This window comes from Homo sapiens, chromosome X (assembly GCF_000001405.40).
Source record: "Homo sapiens chromosome X, GRCh38.p14 Primary Assembly".
Lineage (NCBI taxonomy): Eukaryota > Metazoa > Chordata > Mammalia > Primates > Hominidae > Homo > Homo sapiens.
Genome location: NC_000023.11, coordinates 54312138 through 54336957, shown reverse-complemented (window position 1 = coordinate 54336957; position 24820 = coordinate 54312138). Strand labels below are relative to the sequence as shown.

The window sequence follows — 24820 nt, the reverse complement described above, 5'->3', positions numbered from 1 at the left end:
GGCAATGTAACCTCATAGAGACCTTCATGAGTTCAGTTCTTAGCTTTGGTATTAACATAGATATGTCCTAGTAATGTCATCTGGTTGGCAAATTTTTGTGAGTCACCGTAAGACTCTTTCTTTTCCCTCACAGCCATATTCATTCAGACAGTAAATTTTCTTGCATTTAGTAGTTCCCTAATGTGTTTTGAACCTATCCCTCCTGCCACTATTTTCATTCAAACCTCATCATCTCTTCTGGATTGTTGCAGTAGCTTTTTAATGGGTCTCCTTGTTTTACATTGTATGGCATAGAAGTCCCTGGTGTCTATCTGCCTCTCTGTCCTCATCTGTCTGCTTCTTCTGATACACATGTAAACAACTGCTCATGATACCACTCATACACTTACTCCATACTGTTTAATGCCTTTGCTTGTGATCTTCCCTCTGCCTGGATCAGCTAATTATCTTTCTTTGAGACTCAACTCAGGCATTTTTTTTCCCAGAAAAACTTACTAGAGGATCTGACTTCATTCTTTTGCATGTGGATATCCAGTTGTCCCAGCACCATTTGTTGGAAAAAATATTCTTTCCCCCACTGAATTTTCTTGGCAACCTTGTGGGTTTTTTTGGGGGGATGGGGAGGGTGGGGCAGGGGTGAGACAGAGTCTCACTCTGTCACCCAGGCTGGAGTGCAGTGGTGAGATCTCAGCTCACTGCATCCTCCACCTCCCAGGTTCAAGCGATTCACAGCCTTCACTGCCCAGGTTCAAGTGATTCTCCTGCCTCAGCCTCCCGAGTAGCTGGGACTACAGGCACCTGCCACCATGCCTGGTTAATTTTTTGTATTTTATAGAGATGGGGTTTCACCATGTTGCCCAGGATGGTCTCGAACTCCTGAGCTCAGGCAGTCCACCCACCTTGGCCTCCCAAAGTGCTAAGATTGCAGGCGTGAGCCACTGCACCCGGCTATTCTTGTTGAAAATCAATTAACCATAAATAATATGGCTTTATTTCTGAACTCAATTTTTATTCCATTTATCTATACATCTATTCTTATGCCAGAACCATACTGTCTTAATACTGTACCTTTGTAGTAGGTTGTTAAGGAGTATGGATCCTCCAAATTTGTTCTTTTTCAAGATTGTATTAGCTTTGATTATTATGGGTCCCTTGACATTCTATATGCATTTTAGGATTAGCTTGATGTTTTCTGCAAAGAAACCAGCTGGAATTTTGATGAAGTGAGTTGAATGTGTAGAACAACTTGGAGTATTTGTCTCTATTTTGTTTGTTTTATTTTATTTTTATTTTGTTTATTTTAGTTCAAGGTTTTTTTTCTTCAGCTTCTCAAATTGATATTTCTGTGCATTTTTGGTTTGACATAATTCTTAACAAATCTTTGTGACAAACTGCGCCCTTTGAGGTGCGTAACATAGTAAGAAGTATACAGGCTTAACTTTGCAGTGCATGATTGTGGTGAGAAGGGAAGCATTTTCTTATTGGTGGTTTGACTACTCACTTGAAAAACTTTTTCCCACATATTTTCACATGTTTATTGTGCAAAGTTTTAGAAAATACAAAAAAGCAGAAAGAAAAATCCATAATTTCAGAATTATGTCTGTAAGCTTGTATATATTCCTTTTTACATTTAACCATATAATATATAGGGAACGTCTTTTATCTCACTGAAGACTACAGTGTTTTATTGTTGTTGTTGTTGTTTTGTTTTTTGAGACAGAGTCTCCGTCGCCCAGGCTGGAGTGCAGTGGCGCAACCTCAGCCTCCCAGGTTCGAGTGATTCTCCTGCCTAAGCCTCCCGGGTAGCTGGGATTACAGGTGCCCGCCACCACACCCTGCTAAATTTTTTTGTATTTTTAGTAGAGTCAGGGTTTCACTAAACCAGGCTGGTTTGGTCTCGAACTCCTGACCTCAAGTGATCTGCCCGCCTCGGCCTCCCAAAGTGCTGGGATTACAGGTGTGAGCCACCGTGCCCAGCCTACAGTGTTATTTTTAATGTTGTGGCATACCTCATTTTGAGATACTTAATTAAACACCAATTAGGCTTATGTTTAGTTTTTTCCATAAGTGCTAGAATGAACATCTTTATAGTTAAATCTTTGCACAGATTCTTGACTATTTTCTAAGGCAAGTTCCTATAAGTAGAATTGCTAGTTTAAAAGAATACGTGGTTTTGAGTCTTTCTTGCTATTGTTTTAGGATAGTGTATTAATATTTGACAATAGTTTCTGTTAAAATCTGAAGGCAAGCTTATAAATATTTGCATTATTTCAAATTGCTGTTGGATGTTTATAGCAGCAACATTCACAATAGTCAAAAGGTGGAAGCAATCCAATCCATTGGCAGATGAATGGGATGAACAAAATGTGGTCTATAACATATGGAATATTATTCAGCCTTAAAAAGGAATGAAATTCTGATACATGCTACAACATCAGTGGACCTTGAAAATATTATACTAAGTGAAATAGGCCAGACACAAAAGGACAAATGTGGTCTGATTCCATTTATATGAATTACCTAGAATAAGCAAATTCATAGAGACAGAAAGTAGAAGTTACCAGGGGTGGGTGGGGGCTGATAGGGAATCATTGTTTAACTGGTACAGAGTTTCAATTTGGGATGATTAAAAAGCTCTGGGCATGGATAGTAGTGATGATTGCACAACACTGTGAATGTACTTAACACCACTGAATTGTATAATTAAAAATGGTTAAAATGGTAAATTTGACGATATGTATATTTTAGTACAGTAAAAGAAACTACTATTGATGAATTCCAGAATTTTAGACAAAAACCACCTAGAAACCATGTGGTTGTTTTACTTACTGTGTTTGTCACATTGTGGCTAAGTGAACTCAGGGTTTGGGTACTCATTTTGAATTTGATGGATTGACAGATGGAGCTGAGAACTAGGTTTCTAACCAATATTCATGCAATATGAAGACAGATTGAGCTATATACTAAGTAGTCTGCTAGACACTGAGGACTAATGGTAAACAAGATAAGACACAGTCCCTAGAGTCTGCTGGTTCCTAAGATTGGACAGAAAAAAGAATAAACTTCTTATTAAGGAAAAAGGGATTAAAAAATCAGGTGATTTGTTTTCTCCTTAATGATTTCCTTTGTAGGGTGATTTTAAAATATCTTTTTCCCCCCCTTCAGGTTGCTATGGAAATACATGACCACGCAAAAGGAAGTCCATTCTGATAATTCTGATACCTGAGATGTAACTGGACTGAAGAGTAGAAACAGGAAAAATTTTAGTGCCAACTTTAATTACAATGGCCACTGATTCAGGGGATCCAGCCAGCACAGAAGATTCTGAGAAACCTGATGGAATTTCATTTGAAAACAGAGTTCCCCAGGTCGCTGCAACTTTGACAGTAGAAGCTAGACTAAAGGAGAAAAACAGTACCTTCTCTGCTTCTGGGGAAACTGTAGAAAGGAAGAGATTTTTCCGAAAGAGTGTTGAAATGACGGAAGATGACAAAGTTGCCGAATCATCCCCCAAAGATGAGAGAATTAAGGCTGCAATGAATATTCCAAGAGTAGATAAGCTTCCTTCAAATGTGTTGAGAGGTGGACAAGAAGTTAAATATGAACAGTGTTCAAAGTCAACCTCAGAAATCTCAAAAGATTGTTTCAAGGAGAAAAATGAAAAGGAAATGGAAGAAGAAGCAGAAATGAAGGCTGTAGCTACTTCTCCTAGTGGCAGATTCCTGAAATTTGACATAGAACTAGGAAGAGGAGCATTTAAAACAGTATATAAAGGACTGGACACTGAAACATGGGTTGAGGTTGCTTGGTGTGAGCTGCAGGTAGGTATATAATCTTCTTGGTTATAATAAATTCAAGTTTTAGCTGGCCTGGCCTTCTGTGTGATTCATGATTATCCATGTATCATGGATTAAAATAAAATAAAGGGCTTGTCCCCCACATCCTAGAAATTATGGTCCTTTCCTATATCCTCTTAGGAGCTCACTCCAAACTTTTTTTTCTCCTGTTGTTTTCTTTTCTGTTTTAAAGGGGAAGAAAAAAAAATCTATCATGGCTTTGTTTTTCTTTTTCTTTTTTCTTTTTTTTTTTTTTTGAGGCGGAATCTTGATCTGTCACCCAGGCTGGAGTGCAGTGGTGCAGTCTCGGCTCACTGCAACCTCTGCCGCCTCAGCCTCCCAAATAGCTGGGATTACAGGTGCACGCCACTACGCCCCGCTAATTTTTTGGTTTTTTAGTAGAGACAGGGTTTCACCATGTTGAGCAGGCTGGTCTTGAACTCCTGACCTCAGGTGATCCTCCCGCCTTGGCCTCCCAAAGTGTTGGGATTACAGGCATGAGTCATGGCTCCTGGCCTATCATGACTTTCTTTTGGAAAAATTGTTTTAATTTGTTAGCTTTAGGAAAGTCCCCAAACTCTTAATGTCTCCTTTTGAAAACTTTTCATAAATATATGACTTATGAGTTGATTGTTATACTAAGTACTTGAGAATGTGATAGGGAAATATATTCAGTGTGGCATATACCTTTTCTCTTTTTCTTTCAATAAAATCTTGGGGGTTCATGTGGTGTTTTTCAGAACAGGAAAGGTTTTACTTGATTCTTTGAGGACCTTTACTGATAGAAGCTCATGATGCCTTTGAGTTTACCTCAGAGAGTATCTCTGGAAGAAATAATCACCAGAATCTATTGAAGTTATTCAGCTAGAATGTGTTTAGAAATGAGAAATGAAAGCAACAGGAGAATGATTGAATTGCCTACATATTTGGTTCCATAATAAATGTTCATGTAGTACTTTTAATTAATGAAGAACTAAATAGGGACAGAACATCATAGAAGGGGTTATAATGAGAAGTTTTAGACAGATGTGGGTCAAATATAAGGAAAACCTCTGTGACCTCAGTCAGCCCATAGGAAATGGTTGGTTATTGATCACATGGGATGCTTAAAATTAGGATGGAATAAAGCCAGTTGCTAAGAACAGGTTTCTGTTGCTCAAATTCCAGTGGTCTCCGTGAGTGTAGGTGTATATGTATGAAAACACCATGATTTCACTCATTCTGAATTTGCTGTAGGTTGCTGTTCAGATAGGTTGGAATTTAGTCCAGGTTTCTGCATTTCTAGGAAGCTTTTTGTTTAATGCCATGGTTTCCAAACTTTACTGTTTATAAGAGTCAGTATTTGCTTCATATGCAAACTCTAGGGCCCGTTGGTACAAATTCTGATTCAATAAATCTGGATTGGGGTGCAAGACTGCAATTTTTAAAAACTTTCTAAGTGCTTCTAATTTAGGGAGTCCCTTGAACACTCTTTAGAAAGCAAGTTACTTATCAGTCAGACCCATTCCGGTGGGCCTCGAAAGGTATGTGCATGTGTGGAGTTTGCTTGGTTTTCTTCTCACCTGCTTTTTACCCTTTAAGAATTTTATATGGTATACATTGTAGTAGAAATATTAGATAATGCAGGCAAGCAAGCATCAGAATGACCTAAAATTCCAGTACTTTGAGTACAAGGCTTTAAACATTTTAGTATATACATCTTTCTGGTATATGTATGTGTGTATATATATATATATATATGCACACACACACATATATCTTTCTATAAAATTTTATAATCTTTATTTTCACTTATCTTGAATCTCTTTTCATTATCTGTAAGTGTATATTTATTTATTTATTTTTGTTAGTGTATATTTACATAATTTTTTTTCTTTTTAAATTTTATTTTTTGATTTCCAAATTTTAAGTTCAGAGGTACATGTGCAGGATGTGCAGGTTTGTTACATAGGTAAACGTGTGCCATGGTGGTTTGCTGCATAAATCATCCCATCACCTAGGTATTTAGCCCAGCATCCATTAGCTGTTCTTCCTGATGCTCTCCCTCCTCCCACCCACCCCCATTTTTTATTTTTTATTTATTTTATTAATTTTTTAATTTTATTTTTTGAGACAGAGTCTCACTCTTTTGCCCAGGCTGGAGTGCAGTGGCATGATCTCGGCTCATTGTAACCTCCACCTCCCAGGCTGAAGCAATTCTCCCACTTCAGCCTCTCGAGTAGCTGGGACTACAGGTGTGTGCCACCACTCCTGGCTAATTTTGTTTTTGTATTTTTTTTTTATTATACTTTAAGTTTTAGGATACATGTGCACAACGTGCAGGTTTGTTTTTGTATTTTTAGTAGAGATGGGTTTTGCCGTGTTGCCCTGGTTGGTCTCAAACTCCTGGGCTCAAGCCATCTGCCTGCCTTGGCCTCCCACGGTGCTGGGATTACAGGCGTCAGCCACTGTGCCTGGCCTACATAATTTTTTTAAAATAGATGCCTACTATTTCATTATAAGGTTCTTCTAGGTTATTTAAGCAGTCCCATATTGTTGGATATGTAGGGCCTTTTATTTTTTTGGGAGACATAATCTCACGCCGTCATCTAGGCTGGAATGCAGTGGCGCTGTCTTGGCTCACTGAAGCCTTAACGTCCTGGGCTCAAGTGATCCTCCCACCTCAGCCTCCCTAGTAGCTGGGACTGCGGATGTGTGCCACCACACTCAGGTAATAGTGTTTTTTGTTTGTTTGTTTGTTTGTTTGTTTTAGACGGAGTCTTGCTCTGTTGCCCAGGGTAGAGTGCAGTGGCACAATCTCGGCTCACTGCAACCTCCACCTCCCAGGTTCAAGTGATTATTCTGCCTCAGCCTCCCTAGTAGCTGGGACTACAGGTGTGTGCCACCACGCCTGGCTAATTTTTGTATTTTTAGTAGAGATAGGGGTTTCACCATATTGGCCAGGCTGGTCTCGAACTCCTGACCTTGTGATCTGCCTGCCTCGGCCTCCCAAAGTGCTGGGATTACAGGCGTGAGCCACCATGCCTGGCCGTGTTTTTATTTTTTGTGGAAATGAAGTCTTACTATTTTGCCCAAGCTGGTCTCACACTTCTAGGCTCAAGTGCTCCTTCCACTTCGGCTTCCCAAAATGCTGGGATTATAGGCATGAGCCACTGTAGCCTGCCAAGGTTTTTCCTCTCTACTATTTTACTATTATAACCATGGCTATGATGAACATCCTTGTGTATAATATTGAAAGTTATGTAAATTTTAATTTCATCTCTGCATTGTGACATCAGTAGCACTCAACTTTGCATGATACCATCTGTAAATGAGGGAAATAATTTCCATTCACTTGGTAGTAGGGTACATAGTAAAGATAAGTCAGTCATTTTGCAAGCTGTGTACTCTAGTTATGTTAAAGGATGTTTAGGTAAAACTTGAAAATATTTCAGTGGGAGAAACTGCATAGGATACTGACTTTTTTTTTTTTTTTAAGACAGAGTCTTGCTCTGTTGCCCAGGCTGGAGTGCTGTGGTGCAATCTCGGCTCACTGCAACCTCCTGGGTTCCAGCCTCCTGGGTTCAAGCGATTCTCTTGCCTCAGCCTCCCGAGTAGCTGGGATTACAGGCATGTACCACCATGCCCGGCTAATTTTTGTATTTTTAGTAGAGGCAGGTTTCAACATACTGGCCAGGCTGGTCTTGAACTCCGGACCTCAGGTGATCTGCCCGCCTTGGCCTCCCAAAGTGCTGGGAGTACAGGCGTGAGCCACCGCACCTGGCTGTAGGATACTGACTTCTATCATTCACCTCTGGAAAGGTTTAAAAATCTCATAAGGTCTTACTACTCGAAGTGTGGTCCCTGGACCAGCAGCATGGACATCACCTGGGAGCTTGTCAGAACTGCATATTCCCAGGCCTCATTCCAGACATTCTGAATCAGAATCTGACTTTTGGTAACACATCCAAGTGATTTGTATGCACAGTTAAGTAGAGTTTGGGAAGCACTTGAAATATGGGACCAAACCCAAAAGCTAGCTGAAACACAGTAGGCATTCCTTTAATACACTAACATGATCTTTATATTATATTATGTATTCTGATTTCCGGCTTCCAGTCCAGACTTCTCAAATTGGAATCTTTAGGAGATGAGCTCCAGGAACTTACTGTTTAAAAGTTCCCAAGATGCTGGGCATGGTGGTGCTCACCTATAGTCCTAGCTACTCAGAAGGTTGAGGCAGGAGAGTCACTTGAGCCCCAGAGTTTGAGGCTGCAGTGAGTTGTGATTGTGCCCCACTGCACTCCACCCTGGGTGACAGAATGAGACCCTGTCTCAAAAAAAAGTTCCCTAGGTGATTGGATACATAGCCAGATTTCAGAATCTCTAATGTGGAGGAAATGTAATATATAAAGTACATTTTAATTTACACAGAAAACAACAATTGTAATTTTCTGTTCTAAAAGGAATGTCAGAATTAGTGGACTTATTTAATCAGTTTTTGGATATTGCTTCGTCTTCTCCTTTTTTTTTTTTAAAGGCAAAGTCTTGCTCTGTTGCCCAGGCTAGAGTACAGTGGCATGATCATAGCTCACTGTAACCTCGAATGCCTGGGCTCAGGATCCTCCCGAATAGCCAGGACTACAGGCATAGGCCACCATCCCCAGCTAATTTTTTTTTTTTTGAAATATTTTGTAGAGATGCCTTAGCCTCCCAAAATGCTGGAATTACAGGCATGAGCCACCGTGCCCAGCCTGCATATTTGAAATTAAGAAAAACTAGCTTATTTATAATCCCAGGAGAATAAGGGGCATCATCTTTGAATTACTTCCTGAGTACAATGCAGTTTGTAATGTACAATTTCTCATTCTTCTTCTACAGTCTTATTTATTATATAATTAAACAAGTCTGTAGAAGAAGACCCCAGTGAGCAGTTTGAATGTCTAAATTATTCTAGATTCTTTTTCATTCTTTTTTTATATGTGTGTGCGAGATTGTATATATAATATATATATAATTGATATGTCCATACTTTTGTCTTATCAATTTGATATATGTTCTATTTATTACCATTATTAAAATATATAAACTATAGCATTGACACTACCTCTTGCTTAATTTTCTCCCCTAATGTTAGGTAATTCTTTTCTTTTTTTTTTTCTTTTTTATTTTTTGAGACAGGGTCTCCCTCTGTCACCCAGGCTGGAGTGCAGTGGTAATGATCACAGCTCACTGTAGCCTTGACCTTGTGGGCTTAATTGATTCTCCCACCTCAGCCTCCCTAGTAGCTGGGACCACAGATGTGTGTCACCATGCCTGGCTAATTTTTGTATTTTTTGTAGAGACGGGGTTTTGCCATGTTGCCCAGGCTGGCCTCAAGTGATCTGCCCGTCTCGGCCTCCCAAAGTGCTGGGATTACAGGCATGAGCCACCACCACCTGGCCTTTTGATTTTTAGAGACAGAGTCTCACTCTGTCTGCCAGATTGGTCTTGAAGTCCTGGGCTCAAGTGATCCTCCTGCCTTGGCCAACCAAGTAGCTGGGACTACAGGCACAAGCCACTGTACCTGGTACTTTTCTTTTTTTTAAATTTTATTTTTGCGTGTTTGATTTGAAATTTATAGCTCAACAATAGGTTTTAATACCTTTTTCTCTTGATGGCATTCCCTTCTTCCCCATTGTGGATATTTGAGTCTTGTGAAATAATTCTGTTTGTTTGCTTTTTGTAGAGACAGTCTCATTATGTTGTCCAGGCCAGTCTCGAACTCCTGGCTTCTAGAGGTCCTCCTGTCTCTGCCTCTCAGAGTGCTGAGATTACAGACATGAGCCACCATGCCCAGCCTAATTCTGTCTTTTTTATCACCAACAAAGCAAAGGCAAATTGTGTAATAATTCTTAACAGCCCCACTCCATTTGTTTAGAATACATTGACCTTATGGTGCTGCAAAGAACTGGGAGCGATAAATTTTACTGCTGATATTTGACTTTGAGGATGTTGAAAACAAACTCTCAGATTTAGGATTTGGCTATAAACACCTGCATTTCAAGTTTTTCATATTTTATGGTTTCCATAACTTGATTTTTTTAAGAGACAAGGTCTTGCTCTGTTGCCCAGGCTGGAATGCAATGGCATGTTGTAGCTCACTGCAACCTCAAACTCCTATGCTCCATCAGTCTTCCCCGCTCAGACTTCCTAGTGGCATGATCTCGGCTCACTGCAACCTCTGCCTCCTGGGTTCAAGCAATTCTTCTGTCTCAGCCTCCCGAGTAGCTGGGACTACAGGCGCTTGCCACCACACCTAGCTAATTTTTTGTATTTTTAGTAGAGACGGGGTTTCACTGTGTTAGCCAGGATGGTCTCGATCTCCTGACCTCAAGTGATCTGCCTGCCTCAGTCTCCCAAAGTACAGGATTACAGGTGTGAGCCACTGCACCCGGCTATAATTTCTTTCATTTTAATTTTATTATTTTTTTTTAGAGGCAGGGTCTCACTATGTTGCTTGGGCTGGTCTCAAACTCCTGGGCTCAAGTGATTCTCCTGCCTTGGCCTCTCAAAGTTCTGGAATTACAGGCATGAGCCACTGCACCCAGTCTTTAATTTTTGTAGAGATGGGGTTTTGCTATGTTGCTCAGGCTAGTCTTGAACTCCTGGGTTCAAGTGATCCTCCTACCTTGGCCTCCAAAAACACTGGGATTACAGGCATGAGCCACTGTACCTGGCTCCCATAACTTTATTTAAAAAATATATTAATGGGGCCTGGTGCGGTGGCTCACGCCTGTAATCCCAGCACTTTGGAAGGCCGAGGCAGGCGGATCACGAGGTCAGGAGATTGAGACCATCCTGGCTAACACAGTGAAATCTCGTCTCTACTAAAAATACAAAAAATTAGCCGGGTGTAGTGGCGGGCATCTGTAGTCCCAGCTACTCGGGAGGCTGAGGCAGGAGAATGGCGTGAACCCAGGAGGCGGAGCTTACAGTGAGCTGAGATCACGCTACTGCACTCCAGCCTGGGCAACAGAGCGAGACTTCATCTCAAAAAAAAAAAAAAATCAAACAAACAAACAAAAATTAATGGAAAGACTTTGACCTATTGTTCTTTGTAAAAACTTTGGTAAATTACTTGGTGATTACTTGGTAAATTAGTAAATTACTGTGAGTGAGGGCTATAAGTCGTAAGTGCTATTTAGAAGACTATATTTTAGTTTATGATGTTGAAAGACTTGGTCACATGTTACTGAAAGACCAGTTTAGCAACTCTCAGAAAGAATCAGTCACAGGAGTTTGTAATAGTTTCTTCCTCCACTAACAATTTGAAAATTAACATCACTTAGCTTTTACACATGGAAATACAACCAGTTTTTGCTCTATGATGAGTTGGAAAATACTTACACCAGTACATTTATCATTTGTTTTCTTCATATAATGGAACTATTTCCTTTTTTTTTTTTTTTTTTTTTTTTTTTGAGAGGGAGTTTCGCTCTTGTTGCCCAGGCTGGAGTGCAATGGCATGATCTTGGCTCACTGCAACCTCCGCCTCCCGGGTTCAAGCGATTCTCCTGTCTCAGCCTCCTGAGTTGCTGGGATTACAGGCATGTGCTACCATGCCCAGCTAATTTTTGTGTTTTTAGTAGAGACTGGGTTTCACCATTTTGGCCAGGCTAGTCTTGAACTCCTGACTTCAAGTGATCCACCCGTCTCGGCCTTCCAAAGTGCTGGGATTACAGTCGTGAGCCACAACGCCCGGCCAATGGAACTTTTTTCTAAATATAGAAACATCATAGAGATTTGAAATATGTTTTGTTGACTTTTTCTGAAATGTATTTGAGTGTGCTTGTAATAAGCCTCACTCTGTGGTCAGATATGTGATTGTGTACTTTGGAGGGTAACAGACCTTTGAATAGCACTTAGATATCTAACAACTCGAGCTATAGCCTGTTAACCGAACCAAACATGACACTGAAAAGAAATACCAAAAGGAAAAAAATGGCACAATAGAGTATAGCAGGTTGACACGTTGAGTGAGCATTCTAATATACTTTCATTATAGTAATGAATATACTCAAAGCAATGCAGTGGAAGTAACAGCTTAAAAATCCATACTTCCACACCTGAAGCATCTATCAAAATTGTGGAAGAACTTATTTCTATTTTATTTTCATTCATCATCTAAGTATACTTTGGGGAAAACTATATTTTGAGACATTAGCCCTATTACATTTGATTGTGAAATTAGAATTAGATACGAAAACAGTTGAATTTCCAATAAAGGAAAAAGTAATTTAAAAAGATGCTAGAATTTCTGTTTCTGAATATAGTTGTTTACAGTATTCGCACTGGGACATTTAATTTTGCTCCCCAAATATTTTTATGTCCCTCTTGGAAATGTTTCTGGATTCTGTTTAGCCGTGTAAGAAAGTGCTTCATTACATTATAGGCACACGCCAAATAGTCTGATTCAGTTTGATTTCCCACTCTCTTCATCAGATCCAGCCCTAAAAGTAGAATTCAGTCATGGACAAAGCGTGATTACATTGAAGGGAGGAGGGATAGAGCTTGCTTAAATATACATGTTCTCATCTCTGTTTAAAAACTAGTCACGAACTTTATTAAATATAAACCAAAGGCAAATGCTTTTACAAAATGACAAAGGGTGGGAGTGGCAGGAGATAGCCTTTGTCTGGGAAATAGCATTAATTTCCCCAGTTAGTTGAGTGAGTTAGTTTTGAGCTAATTATTTGCTTGATAGATTTAAAAAATTGATACATGTGGTAAGCTGAAAATAGCCCCCCAAAGATGTCCATGTCCTAATCCCTGGAACCTGTGAATATGTCATCTTACATTTCAAAAAGGACTTTGCAGATGCGATTAACTTAAAGATCTAGGGATTGGAAGATTACCCTGGATTATCTGGGTGGACCCAGTGTAATCACAAGGGTCCTTATAAGAGGGAGGCAGAATGGCCATAGTCAGAGGAGGAGATCTGATGATGGAAGCAGAGGCTGGAGTGATGCAGTTGCTGACAATGAGCCAACGAATGTGGACAGTCTCCAGAAGCTGGAAAAGATAAGGAAACATTCTTCTCTAGAGTCTTCACAGGAATGCAGCCCTCCTGATACCTTGATTTTAGTCTAGAGAGACTCAATTTGGATTTCTTAATCCCTACAACTAGCAGATAATACATTTCTGTTTTAAGCCACTGTGTTTGTTGTAATTTGTTACAGTAGCAATAGGAAATGAATACAATAGACTATAGCTGCCATTTGTTCATTCAACAAATAAATAGTACCTGCAATGTGCCAGACACATGCCAAGTGCTAGGGACATAATGGGGAGAAAAAGCAGACACAGGCCTCATTTTCACAAAGCTTACAGTAGAAGGAGTTTACAGTTATAAGAAGGCTTAGAAATTGGAGTTCGTGAAATGATGAAAGGGCTGTTTAATATAGGTTTGTTTAAAGGAAATGGTAGGGTTGACAGTAGGGGGCAACAGGGATACCACTCCTTTATTACATAGTTTTCTTTTTTAAAAACTTTTTATTTTGATATATTTTCTACTCACAGAAGAGTTGCAAAAAGAGTATAGAAAGTTCCTGTATACCCATCACCCAGACTCCCTTTATGTTAATATCTTGTATTTTTATTTTTGGTAGAGATGGGGTCTTGCTATGCTGAACAGGCTGATCTCTAACTCCTGGCCTCAAGCATTCCTCCTGCCTCGGCCTCCCAAAGTGCTGGGATTACAGGTGTGAGCCACCATGCTTGGCCCTTAGTTGTTTTTTAGATTGCCCCTTAGTTGTTTTTTAGATTGCCCCTTAATTTGACTTTGTCTTATGTTTTCTCATGCTTAGATTTAGACTATGCATTTTTGGCAGGAATACCACAGAAGTGATGCACCATCCTCAGTGCATCATAACTGGGGGTACATGGTGTTGTTTTGTATTACTGGTGATAATAATCTTGATCACTTGGTTAAGGTGGTATCTGCCAGGCTTTCTCTCCTGTAAAGTTACTGTTTTTCCTGTTGTATATTAGTAAATATCTTGGGGGTAGATCTTTGAGACTATGCAAATATACTGTTTTCTTTTAAACTTTTGCCCGCTGATTTTAGCATCCGTTGGTGTATCTTGCATGTCATCATTATAACTGTAGTGTTCTAATGATTTTTTTCTCACATTCCTTCTGCATTTATTAATTGGCATTAACCTGTTAGTTTTATGTGATTTCTCCCCAGTATACCTGTTAAGTTTCTGGAAACCCAACAATAGGAGAATTTATGGTTGAGATACTTTGGTATAGTTAGTAATAGCAGGTATCATATATTTTCCATTATCAAAATTAACATTAATGGAACATTTATACTGGTACTTAATTTGAATATTTTATTTAATCCTTAGAATAGGTATATGAGATAAGGATTATTAGTTTTCAGATGGTGGAACTGAAATTTAGATATGTTAAGCAATTTTCCCAATGGAGCAGAGTCAGGATTTGTATTCCATCAATTATATCTATGTAAAGCATTTACATAGATGATTGAAGAATTTCCCACTCACTAGTTACTTGGGCAGATCATTCTTTTATGTTTTTAACCATTTTAGAACAAATGATTTCTTAAACGGATCCTGTTTAAGATTCTTAACATTGAACTACCGAAACTCAAGGGATGTCAGTTAATGGTGTCATTGAAGGGCACCTGAGGAATAGTTTCGTGATTAGATGGTCATGGTTCAGTATCTGGCCTTCACCTTTTGTCAATGTCCAGAGGTTGGGGAGTTGGGGAGACTGACTTGTGTTCACTCCAGCTCCTAAATCTAGGATACAAGTTTATTATTTTAAAATGAGAAATATAGTTGTTAGGTAAAATGTTCTATATAGTCTTTAGGCTAGTTACATGGGGAGCTAAATTATAATCAGAAGCTGGCTTGGTGCTTATAGAGTCGGAACAAAGGAGCTAGATGTTCCTGTATGTCCTCCTGCTAAGGCAAGAGCCTGACCAAATGAACCGAATGCTCACATTCTGATTGGATGAGGACATCTTTGATCAGCAGTTCTGGAAGATAAGTGAACCTGGTTCTATGCATGGTTTATTGCCTTTTGATTTATTACCTTGACTACCACTTGTGAGCACTTTTCTTTTTTCTTTCTTTTTTTTTTTTTTTGGGATGGAGTCTTGCTCTGTCACTCAGGCTGGAGTGCGATGGCGTGATCTCGGCTCACTGCAACCTCTGCCTCCGGGGTCAAGCGAATTTTCTGCCTCCCGGGTCAAGCGAATTTCCTGCCTCAGCCTCTCGAGTAGCTGGGATTATAGGCATGCGCTACCACGCCCAGCTAATTTTTGTATTTTTAGTAGAGATGGGGTTTCACCATGTTGGCCAGGCTGGTCTCGAACTCCTGACCTCAGGTGATCCACCCGCCTCAGCCTCCCAAAGTGTTGGGATTACAGGTGTGAGCCACCGCGCTCAGCCAAGCACTTTTCTTTAGGTATTAATACCATTGCTGTCTCAAAGCTTTAGTATGGTAATATGACCAGATTATGACTATTATACCGTGATTTCTTAATTGATATGTTGATGTCACCTTTTACAAATTATCGTTATCCTCAGTGTCTGTTTATTTCATTTAGCATGAGTTCTGGGGTACTACACCATCTCTCCATGGAAAGTGGTTTGTGAATGAGATATCTGCACTCATTGCCATGACTGCTGTTTCTGAGAGGCAGAGTAGTGAACCAGAAAGTGCTTTGGATTCAGAATTCAGCGTACGGGGTTCCAGTGTTGCCTGTGCCAGTTAGGTACCTTGGGTAAGCCAGATAGTTTAACTGGAGCCTTAATTTTTTACTTTTCTTTTAAAGAAAAACATGATAAATACTTTGGATGTACTAAAAAGAATAAAGAGTAACATAATGGAAACTGTGTACCTACTGCCCAGTTTAAGAAATAAAACATTGGCTGGGGGCGGTAGCTCACGCCTGTAATCCCAGCACTGTGGGAGGCTGAGGTGGGTGGATCACCTGAGGTCAGACATTCGAGATCAGCCTGGCCAACATGGCGAAACTCCTCCTCTACTAAAAATACCAAAATTAGCGGCGCATGGTGGCGCATGCCTGTAATCCCAGCTACTCAGAAGGCTGAGGCAGGAGAATTGCTTGAACCCGGGAGGTGGAGGTTGCGGTGAGCCCAGATCATGCCATTGCACTCCAGCCTGGGTGACAGAGCAAGACTCCATCTCAAAAAAAAAAGAAAAGAAAACATTGAGGATTAGAGAGATTACTTTTAAAGCATGTGACGCATTTTAGTGTTCAATAAATGGTAGTGTTAAAATACTGAGCAACCTCATGTTTATCAAGAATATTCAAGCTGAGGCAGGAGAATAGCTTGAGGATAGGAATTCAAGACCAGCCTGGTCAACATAGCAAGGGCTCATCTCCACAGAAAGAAAAAAAAAAAAAGCTGAGCATAGGCATAGTGGCATGTCCCAGTAGTGTCTTGGGTATTTGGGAGACTGAGGCAAGAGGATCATGTGAGCCCAGGAGTTCAAGGCTGCAGTGAACTATGATCGTGCCACTGCACTCCAGCCTGGGCAACACAGAGTGAGACCCTGTCTCTCTAAAAAGAAAAAAAATATTCATTGATAGAGTGCTTTATAAGCTAAGCATCATTTTGAAGCCTTTGTAATATTCATCCTTACTTGATTAGGTTATTTTATAATATAGCTTTTATATCATTGTTAATGATTTCTCCTTTCACATTTGCGGAAACAGATCCATGTAGCCTCTGACTTGTTTCTGTAGATCATTGTTGGTGTTTGCATTAAGATATATACCTGATAAGGACATAGTTTACTTTTTGGAAATGAAATGCTTCTTATCTTGAATAAATATATATACAGGTTGGTCATACTGGTATTGTGCCATGTCTCAGGAAAGGTTTTGTGTACACTTTTAGCATTCCATATGTTATAATAGATTTAATGTTTAGTTAACATTTATAAAAGGATAATATTTCTTTTTACAGTAGTGTGGAGTAGTTGAAATCTATTTGATAAATTTGTATTTGACTCCTATTTATCAGCTATATAAATGAACATTTATAACACTGATATTTGACATAAAATTGATATTTGATGCTTTCTTCTTGGTGTCCTTACCTTGAGACAGCAAGATTTAGGGATCATTTTCATAGACCAGAATTTTCCCAGCATTTGACTATGTCAGCTTCATTAGCTAGTGCTGTTCTCTGGTTTGTCTTTTGTGGCTCATCATTCCTTTCTTGTGTAAGAATTCTTATTGATGATGTGTGAAAGTTTCTCTACCAAAGTGGTTGTCATTAATACAATAATGCATGTAGGGGTGTGTGTGTTTAAAGGATGTTACTGTGGTAGCTGAAAGCTCTACTCTAAGTATTTTCCTCTGGATTTTGGTGCTACTTTAACAGGTTTACTTTCCCCTTGCTAAATGTGAAGTGGAGTTTTGAAGATCTTGGCTCTACATTTTTAGTAGACTTCACCTCCAGCAGTATATCTGGGAAAACAGTTGTAATTTTGTAAAGTTGTTTATTCCTAATGCTGACTACTTTCAATCTGTAGAATCAAAGGATGAAGTAGGGTAGTTTAGTATGGCACATGAAAGACTTGGCATTCTACTAATTTAATCAGAAGGCATCAAAATTTATTCATTATTCTGGCCAGGTATGGTGACTCATGCCTATAATCCTAGCACTTTGGGAGGCTGAGGCAGGCAGATCACTTGAGCTCAGGAGTTTGAGACCAGCCTGGGCAACATGGCGAAATCCCATCTTTACAAAAAATACAAAAATCAGCTGGGTGTGGTGGCATGTGCCTGTAGTCCCAGCTACTTGGTAGGCTGAGGTGGGAGGATCGCTTGAACCTGGGAGGTGGAAGTTGCAGTGAGCTGAGATCGCGCCACTGCACTCCAGCCTGAGTGACAGAGTGACACCCTGTCTCAAAAAAGAATTACTAATTATTCTTCAGAGTAGATCTGCTGTCTATCATGAGTAGAGGACTTCTAGCCAGTTATAGGGGCACTTAAGACTTATTAGTCAGGTTGGGCTGGGTGCAGTGGCTCATACCTGTAATCCCAGCACTTTGGGAGGCCGAGGTGGGCGGATCGCCTGAGGTCAGGAGTTCAAAACCAGCCTGGCCAACATGGCGAAACCCTTTCTCTACTAAAAATACAAAAATTAGTCAGGCGTGATGGCGGGCACCTGTAATCCCAGCTACTGGGGGAGGCTGAGGCACGAGAATCGCTTGATCCCGGGAAGTGGAGGTTGCAGTGAACCGAGGTCACACTACTCACTCCAGCCTGGATGACAGAGCAAGACTCCATCTCAAAAAAAAAAGAAAAGACTTATTAGGCCAGATAGTAAAGCATAAAGACTCTACTTGTTTCCTTGCTTTTGTTCTCTGAGTTCCTTATTTTTTTTCAAGACAGGGTCTTGCTCTCTTACCTAGGCTGGAGTGCAGTGGCGTGACCATAGTTCACTGCAGCCTTGAACGCCTGGGCTCAAGTGATCCTCCTGCCTCAGCCTCCCAAGTAGCTAGGACTACAGGTGCATGCCTCCATGCCCAGCTATTTTGTATAGTTGGGGTCTTGTTTTGTTGCCCAAGCTGGTCTTGAACTCCTTCCTAGCCTCCCTAAGTACTGGGATTACAGATGTGAACCACTGTGCCTGCTGACTTCCTTAACTTTCTAAAAAATATTTTTTATTGTGGCAAAATGTCTAATATATAACAAGAGTTACCATCTTAACCTTTTTTTTTTTTTTGAGACAGAGTCTCACTCTGTTGTCCAGGCTGGAGTGAAGTGGCATGATATCAGCTCACTGCAACCCCTGCCTCCTGGGTTCAAGCAATTCTCATGCCTCAGCCTCCCGAGTTGCTGGGATCACAGGCGCGTGCCACCACAGCCGGATAATTTTTGTATTTTTAGTAGAGAATGGGGTTTTGCCATGTTGGCTGGGCTGGTCTCGAACTCCTGGCCTCAGGTTATCTGCCCGTCTTGACCTCCCAAAGTGCTGGGATTACAGGCGTGAGCCACTGTGCCCAGCCATCTTAACCATTTTTAAGTGTGCAGTTTTTCAGTGGCATTAAGTATATTTACATCATTGTACATCCCTCAGCAATATCCATCTCCAGTACTTTTTTATCATTCCAAATAGAAACTCTATACTCATTAAACAATTTAACTTCCCCTGGCTGGGCGCGGTGGCTCACGCCTATAATCCCAGCACTTTGGGAGGCCGAGGCAGGTGGATCACGAGGTCAGAAGATCGAGACCATCCTGGCTAACATGGTGAAACCCTGTCTCTACTAAAAAATACAAAAAATTTGCCGGGCATGGTGGCACGTGCCTGTAGTCCCAGCTACTTGGGAGGCTGAGGCAGGAGAATGGCGTGAACCCGGGAGGCGGAGCTTACAGTGAGCTGAGATGGCACCACCGCACTCCAGCCTGGGCGACAGAGCGAGATTCCGTCTCAAAAAAAAAAGAAAAAAAAAATTTAACTTCCCATTCCCCACTCTGCCTAGCTCCTGTTAACTACTATTCTACTTTCTGTCTCTATGAATGTGCCTATTGTAGGTACCTCATATAAGTGGAATCAAGCAATGTTTGTCTTTCCTGTCTCGTTTATTTCACTTACCATAACGTTTTCAAAATTCATCCATGTTGGCCGGGTGCGGTGGCTCACACCTGTAATCCCAGCTACTTTGGGAGGCCGAGGTGGGCGGATCACAAGGTCAAGAGTTCGAGACCAGCCTGGCCAACATGGTGAAACCCCGTCCCTACTAAGAATACAAAAATTAGCTGGGCATGGTGGCATGTGCCTGTAATCCTAGCTACTCAGGAGGCTGAGGCAGGAGAATTGCTTGAACCCGGCAGGCGGAGGTTGCAGTGAGCCGAGATTGTGCCTCTGTACTCCAGACTGGGTGATAGAGCAAGACTCCATCTCAGGAAAAAAAAAAAAAAAAGATTCATCCATGTTTTGTAGCATGTATCAGAATTTCATTTCTCTTTAAGGCTAAACAGTATTCCATTGTATGTATGTACCATATTTTGTTTATTCATCTGTTGGTGGGCATTTGAGTTGTTTCTACGTTTTGGCTATTGTGAATAATGCTGCTATGAACATGGTTCTACAAATGTCTGTGTCTCTGCTTTCAATTCTTTTGGGTATATACCTAGAATACCTAAAAGTAGAATTGCTGGAGCATATGATAATTCTATGTTTAATATGTTGAGGAACCATCATGTTGCTTTCCACAACGAATATACCATTTTACATTCCCCAGCAATGTACAAGGTTTCTCCATATCCTTGCCAACACTTCTTATTTATTTATTTATATATTTATTTACTTAGATAATAGCCATCCTAATGGGTGTGAAGTGGTATTTTATTGTGGTTTTGATTTGCATTGCCCTGACAACTAATGATGTTGAGCATCTTTTCTCAAAGTTGTAGAGATTATAAGTCCCAGATCAAGTTCTAGCTTGGTGGGTTTCTGGTGAGGGCTCTCTTCATGGCTTGGTGAGGAGAGTTGGGAGTGAGCTTTCTCTTGTCTTCTTGTCTTTTTTTTTTTTTTTTTTTGAGATGGAGTCTCGCTCTATTGCCCAGGCTGGAGTGCGGTGGCGTGATCTCAGCTCACTGCAACCTCCGCCTCCTGGGTTCAAGCGATTCTCCTGCCTCAACCTCCCAAGTAGCTGGGATTACAGGTGCCTGCCACCACGCCTGGCTACTTCTTTATATTTTTAGTAGAGACGGGGTTCCAACATGTTGGACAGGCTGGTCTTGATCTCCTGACCTCAGGTGATCCACCCATCTTGGCCTCCCAAAGTGCTGGGGTTACGGGCATGAGCCACTGCACCCGGCCTCTGTTATCTCTTTTTATAAGGATACTAATCCTATTGGATCAAGGACCCACCCTTATGACATAAAGGTCCCGTCTCCAAATACAGTCACATTGGGGTTGGGGTTTTAACTTACAAATTTTGGCGGAGGAGAGAGGACACAAACATTCCATCTATAATACAGGGGAAGATCTGCTGATCTCTTTGTATAGTTATGCCCCCTCAAAAGTGTGAGCAGAGCTAAAAGACTAGTGGGCTGACCAGTCTTTTAGTCTTGAGGGTCTAAAGGGTAGACGGGGTCATTTTTAGTCTGCAGAGTAGGAGAGAGAGTTAGCTTTTGCATTCTAGGAGAATAAGGAGCAAACACACTTCCTCGATGTCTAACAAGATGTTAGTTGTTACAGAACAGCCCTCAGGGGAGAGACTGCTATAGCTCCATCACTCATGGGACTACATAAGGTACCCCAGGGCTCCCCTGAGTAAATCAAGGACTCAGAAGAGGATTGAATATGAGGGGAAAATAATCACTTTTCTGACTTGAATTAGTAGTCTCGATAATCAAAAAGAAGTAGTATCTAAAAGTAGATATCTAGTAAAATCTGGTAAATAACTAGACTAACCAAGAAAAAAGAATCTTACATGCACCTTTCTTCTTATCTTCAATGCTAGAAGCTAAAAGACAGTAGACCATTAAGGGGAAAAGGCTACACCATCCAAGAATCTCTAATCAACTAAGATATCATCTCCCAGGGTGAAAAAGATATTCATGGACCATAGTGCAGAAAACTATGTAATAGTTGAAAAGATGAAGCTAGATCTATGTAACTAACATATGTTGACATTGAATGAATGGAATATTTGATAAAAGTGCTAAGTAAAGACTCTACAGCTAGAACAGAAGTGTGTCAGGGGGAGGGGCAATCATATAGAAGTGGACAGTGTAGGGGTGATTAAGTCTTTTTTTTTTTTTTTTTTTTGAGACAAGGTCTCCCTCTGTTGCCCAGGCTGGAGTGCAGTAGCAGAATCTTGGCTTGCTGCAACCTCCACCTCCCAGGCTCAAGTGATCCTCCCACCTCAGCCTCCCAAGTAGCTAGGACTACAGCTATTGGGACGTGCCTCCATGCTCAGCTGATTTTTTTTATTTTTAGTAGAGACAAGGTTTTGCCATGTTGTCCAGGCTGATTTCGAACTCCTGAGCTCGAACGATTCACCTGCCTCAGCCTCCCAAAGTACTGATATTACAGGCATGAGCCATCGTGCCTGACCAGTGATTAAGTCTTCTACATGTGTTGTCTATGTGGCATGATAGAAAGGGGGGAAATATTAGTATTTTAGATTATTTATTTATTTTTGGTGAATGGGGGCTAGGTGAAGTAGGGAGAACGAGTAGATGAGTTACTTTCTTAAAACAGATAAATATGTTTGATCTTGAGTGTCTGGAAAGGGAGGCTATCCACTAGTAAAAAAGGAAAAATATTATATATCTCTTTGTTTTTTGAGACAGCATCTCACTTTGTCACTCAGGCTAGAGTGCAGTGTGGCGCAGTGTGGCGCAAACATGGCTCACTATACAGTCTCGACCTCCCGGGTTCAAGCGATCCTCCAGCCTCAGCCCCCTAAGTAGCTGGGACTACAGACATACACCACTATGCCCGGCTAATTTTTGTATTTTTTGTAGAGACAGGGTTTTGTCATGTTGCTCAGGCTGGTCTTAAACTCCTGAGCCTAAGCAATGCACCCACCTTGACCTCCCAAATTGTTGGGATTACAGATGTGAGCCACTGTGCCTAGCCTGCTACATCTCTTAGTTAATAATAGAAAACAACAAAGTGAAATAAATAAAGAACATAAAATAAGATTGAAGGAGTAAAATTAAGTATATTATTTGCTATACCAAATGTGGACATGTTGCATTTACTTAATAAGAAACTCAGATTGTCAGGTAGAGTTAAAAGACAAAACTCACATGTGTTGTTTACTAAAATCATACTTAAAGCAGTGATAAAGAAAAGGTAAAGGTGTAAACAAGCAAAGAGAAAACAAGAGTGGCAATGTGTTTTGTTTTTTTTTTTTTTGTTTTTTTTTTTGAGACAGAGTCTCACTCTGTCGCCCAGGCTGGAGTGCAGTGGCATGCTCTTGGCTCACTGCAACCTCTGCCTCTTGGGCTCAAGTGATTCTCATGTCTCAGCCTCCCAAGTAGCTGGGATTACACGCACGTGCCACCACACCTGGCTAATTTTTTGTGTTTTTATTAGAGACAGGGTTTCACCATGTCGACTAGGCTGGTCTCGAGCTCCTGACCTCAGGCGATCTGCCCGCCTTGGCCTCCCAAAGTGCTGGGATTACAGGTGTAAGCCACCACACCTGGCCCCAAAGTGGCAATGTTAATGTACATCAAAAAAGGAGGAAAACAAGGTTGAAACATTAGACAGGATATTATGAAATTATATACTTCATAGTTTACGAAGATGTATCAAAAACTTGTAGACATCAACAACATTTTGGCTAAATAACCTCTAATAGCATTTTCAAAAAAGCAAACATGTATTTGTAGTGGGAAATTTCATGTACATTTCTTTCAGCATAGGAGAGATCTAGTGCACAAAAAGTGAGTAAATACAGAGGAGTTGTGCCAGGCGAGGTGGCTCACGCCTGTAATCCCAGCACTTTGGGAGGCCGAGGCAGGTGGATCACCTGAGGTCAGGAGTTCAAGATCATCCTGACCAACATGGAGAAACCCCACCTCTACTAAAAATACAAAATTAGCCGGGGTGGTGGCGCATGCCTGTAATCACAGCTACTCGGGAGGCTGAGGCAGGAGAATTGCTTGAACCCGGGAGACGGAGGTTGCCGTGAGCCAAGATCGCGCCATTGCACTCCAGCCTGGGCAACAAGAGCAAAACTCTATCTCAAAAAAAAAAAAAATACAGAGGAGTTGAATAATATAATCCACAATCCACAAACTTTATTTGATGGATGTATAGAACTTTATATCCTTCAAGCAAGAAATATACATTGTTATATGTGGCCCCCAAAAACCCTTAAGTTAAAGCAGAGAGATTTTGTACTTGCATTACTCAATAAGATTAGAAATAAATAATGAAATAAATAACCAAAAGATTCTTAACTAATTAGAGAGCAGAAATCACATTCCTAGGTAAATTTTGAATCAAAGAGAAACTGAAAACTGAAAATGAAAATGAAAATGAAAATTATAAACTAGAAAGCAATGAAAAAGAGAAGACATTACAACAAAACCTGTGGGTCATTGCAAAAGTTGTACCTGTTAGAAAATTTATAGCCTAAAATATCTTCATTATTAATGAACAATAACTAAAGGAATTTAGTACTCATGTTAAGAAATTAGGAAAATAACAGCAAAAGAAAGGAAGAGGGAATTCAGAAAAACTGAAATTAATTTAAAATTTATATACATAAAAATAGGATAAATAGATTTTATTATTTTGGGCTTTCTGAAAAACGATTAATGTACCTGATGAAGAAAATAGGGCAGAAATACACAAGGAAAGGAATGAGAAGGCCGGGCGCAATAGCTCACTCCTGTAGTCCCAGCACTTTGGGAGGAGGCCGAGGCAAGTGGATCACTTCAGGTCAAGAGTTCAAGACCAGCCTGGTCAACATGGTGAAACCCCATCTCTACTAAAAATACAAAAATTAGCCGGGCGTGGTGGTGGGCACCTGTAATCCCAGCTACTCAAGAGGCTGAGGCAGGAGAATCACTTGACCCCGGGAAGCAGAGGTTGCAGTAAGCTGAGATCGCACCACTGCACTCCAGCCTGGGCAATGGAGCGAGACTCCGTCTAGAAAAAAAAGGAATGAGAAATAAAACATAGCATGCTATGAAAGAGAATAAAAGAAATTAGAAGATAATGTCATGTACAACTTTGATAACAAAATTTTTCTAACATTTTGTTATTTTAATTTAATTTTTTTGAGACAGGGTCTCACTCCGTCACCAAGGTTGGAGTGCAGTGGCATGATCTTGGCTCACTGCAACCTCTGCCTCCCAGGTTCAAGCAATCCTCCCACCTTACCCTCTCGAGTAGTTAGGGACTATAAACATGCACCACCACACCCAGCTGTTGTTTTTATTATTATTTTTTTGTAGAGACGGGGGTCTC

At 40.6% G+C, this 24820-nt stretch overlaps 1 protein-coding gene across 22 annotated transcripts in view, besides 1 other annotated feature; it reads left to right on the top strand.

Moving 5' to 3' along the window:
* Positions 1-24820, top strand: part of WNK3 (WNK lysine deficient protein kinase 3) — a 166078-nt gene that overhangs the window by 21943 nt on the left and 119315 nt on the right. For all 22 annotated transcript variants that reach the window (XM_047442382.1, XM_047442379.1, XM_017029744.2 and 19 more), the window contains exon 2: positions 3166-3821. In XM_047442382.1, the coding sequence (XP_047298338.1) occupies positions 3285-3821 (537 nt within the window). In that variant the 5' untranslated portion in view covers positions 3166-3284. The remainder of the gene's footprint in view (positions 1-3165; positions 3822-24820) is intronic.
* Positions 12816-13016: a silencer, noted in NCBI's record as "peak7382 fragment used in MPRA reporter construct". NCBI's record gives its function as "represses an SCP1 promoter by STARR-seq MPRAs in K562 erythroleukemia cells {active_cell/tissue: K562}" and the evidence as "EXISTENCE:reporter gene assay evidence [ECO:0000049][PMID:32103011]".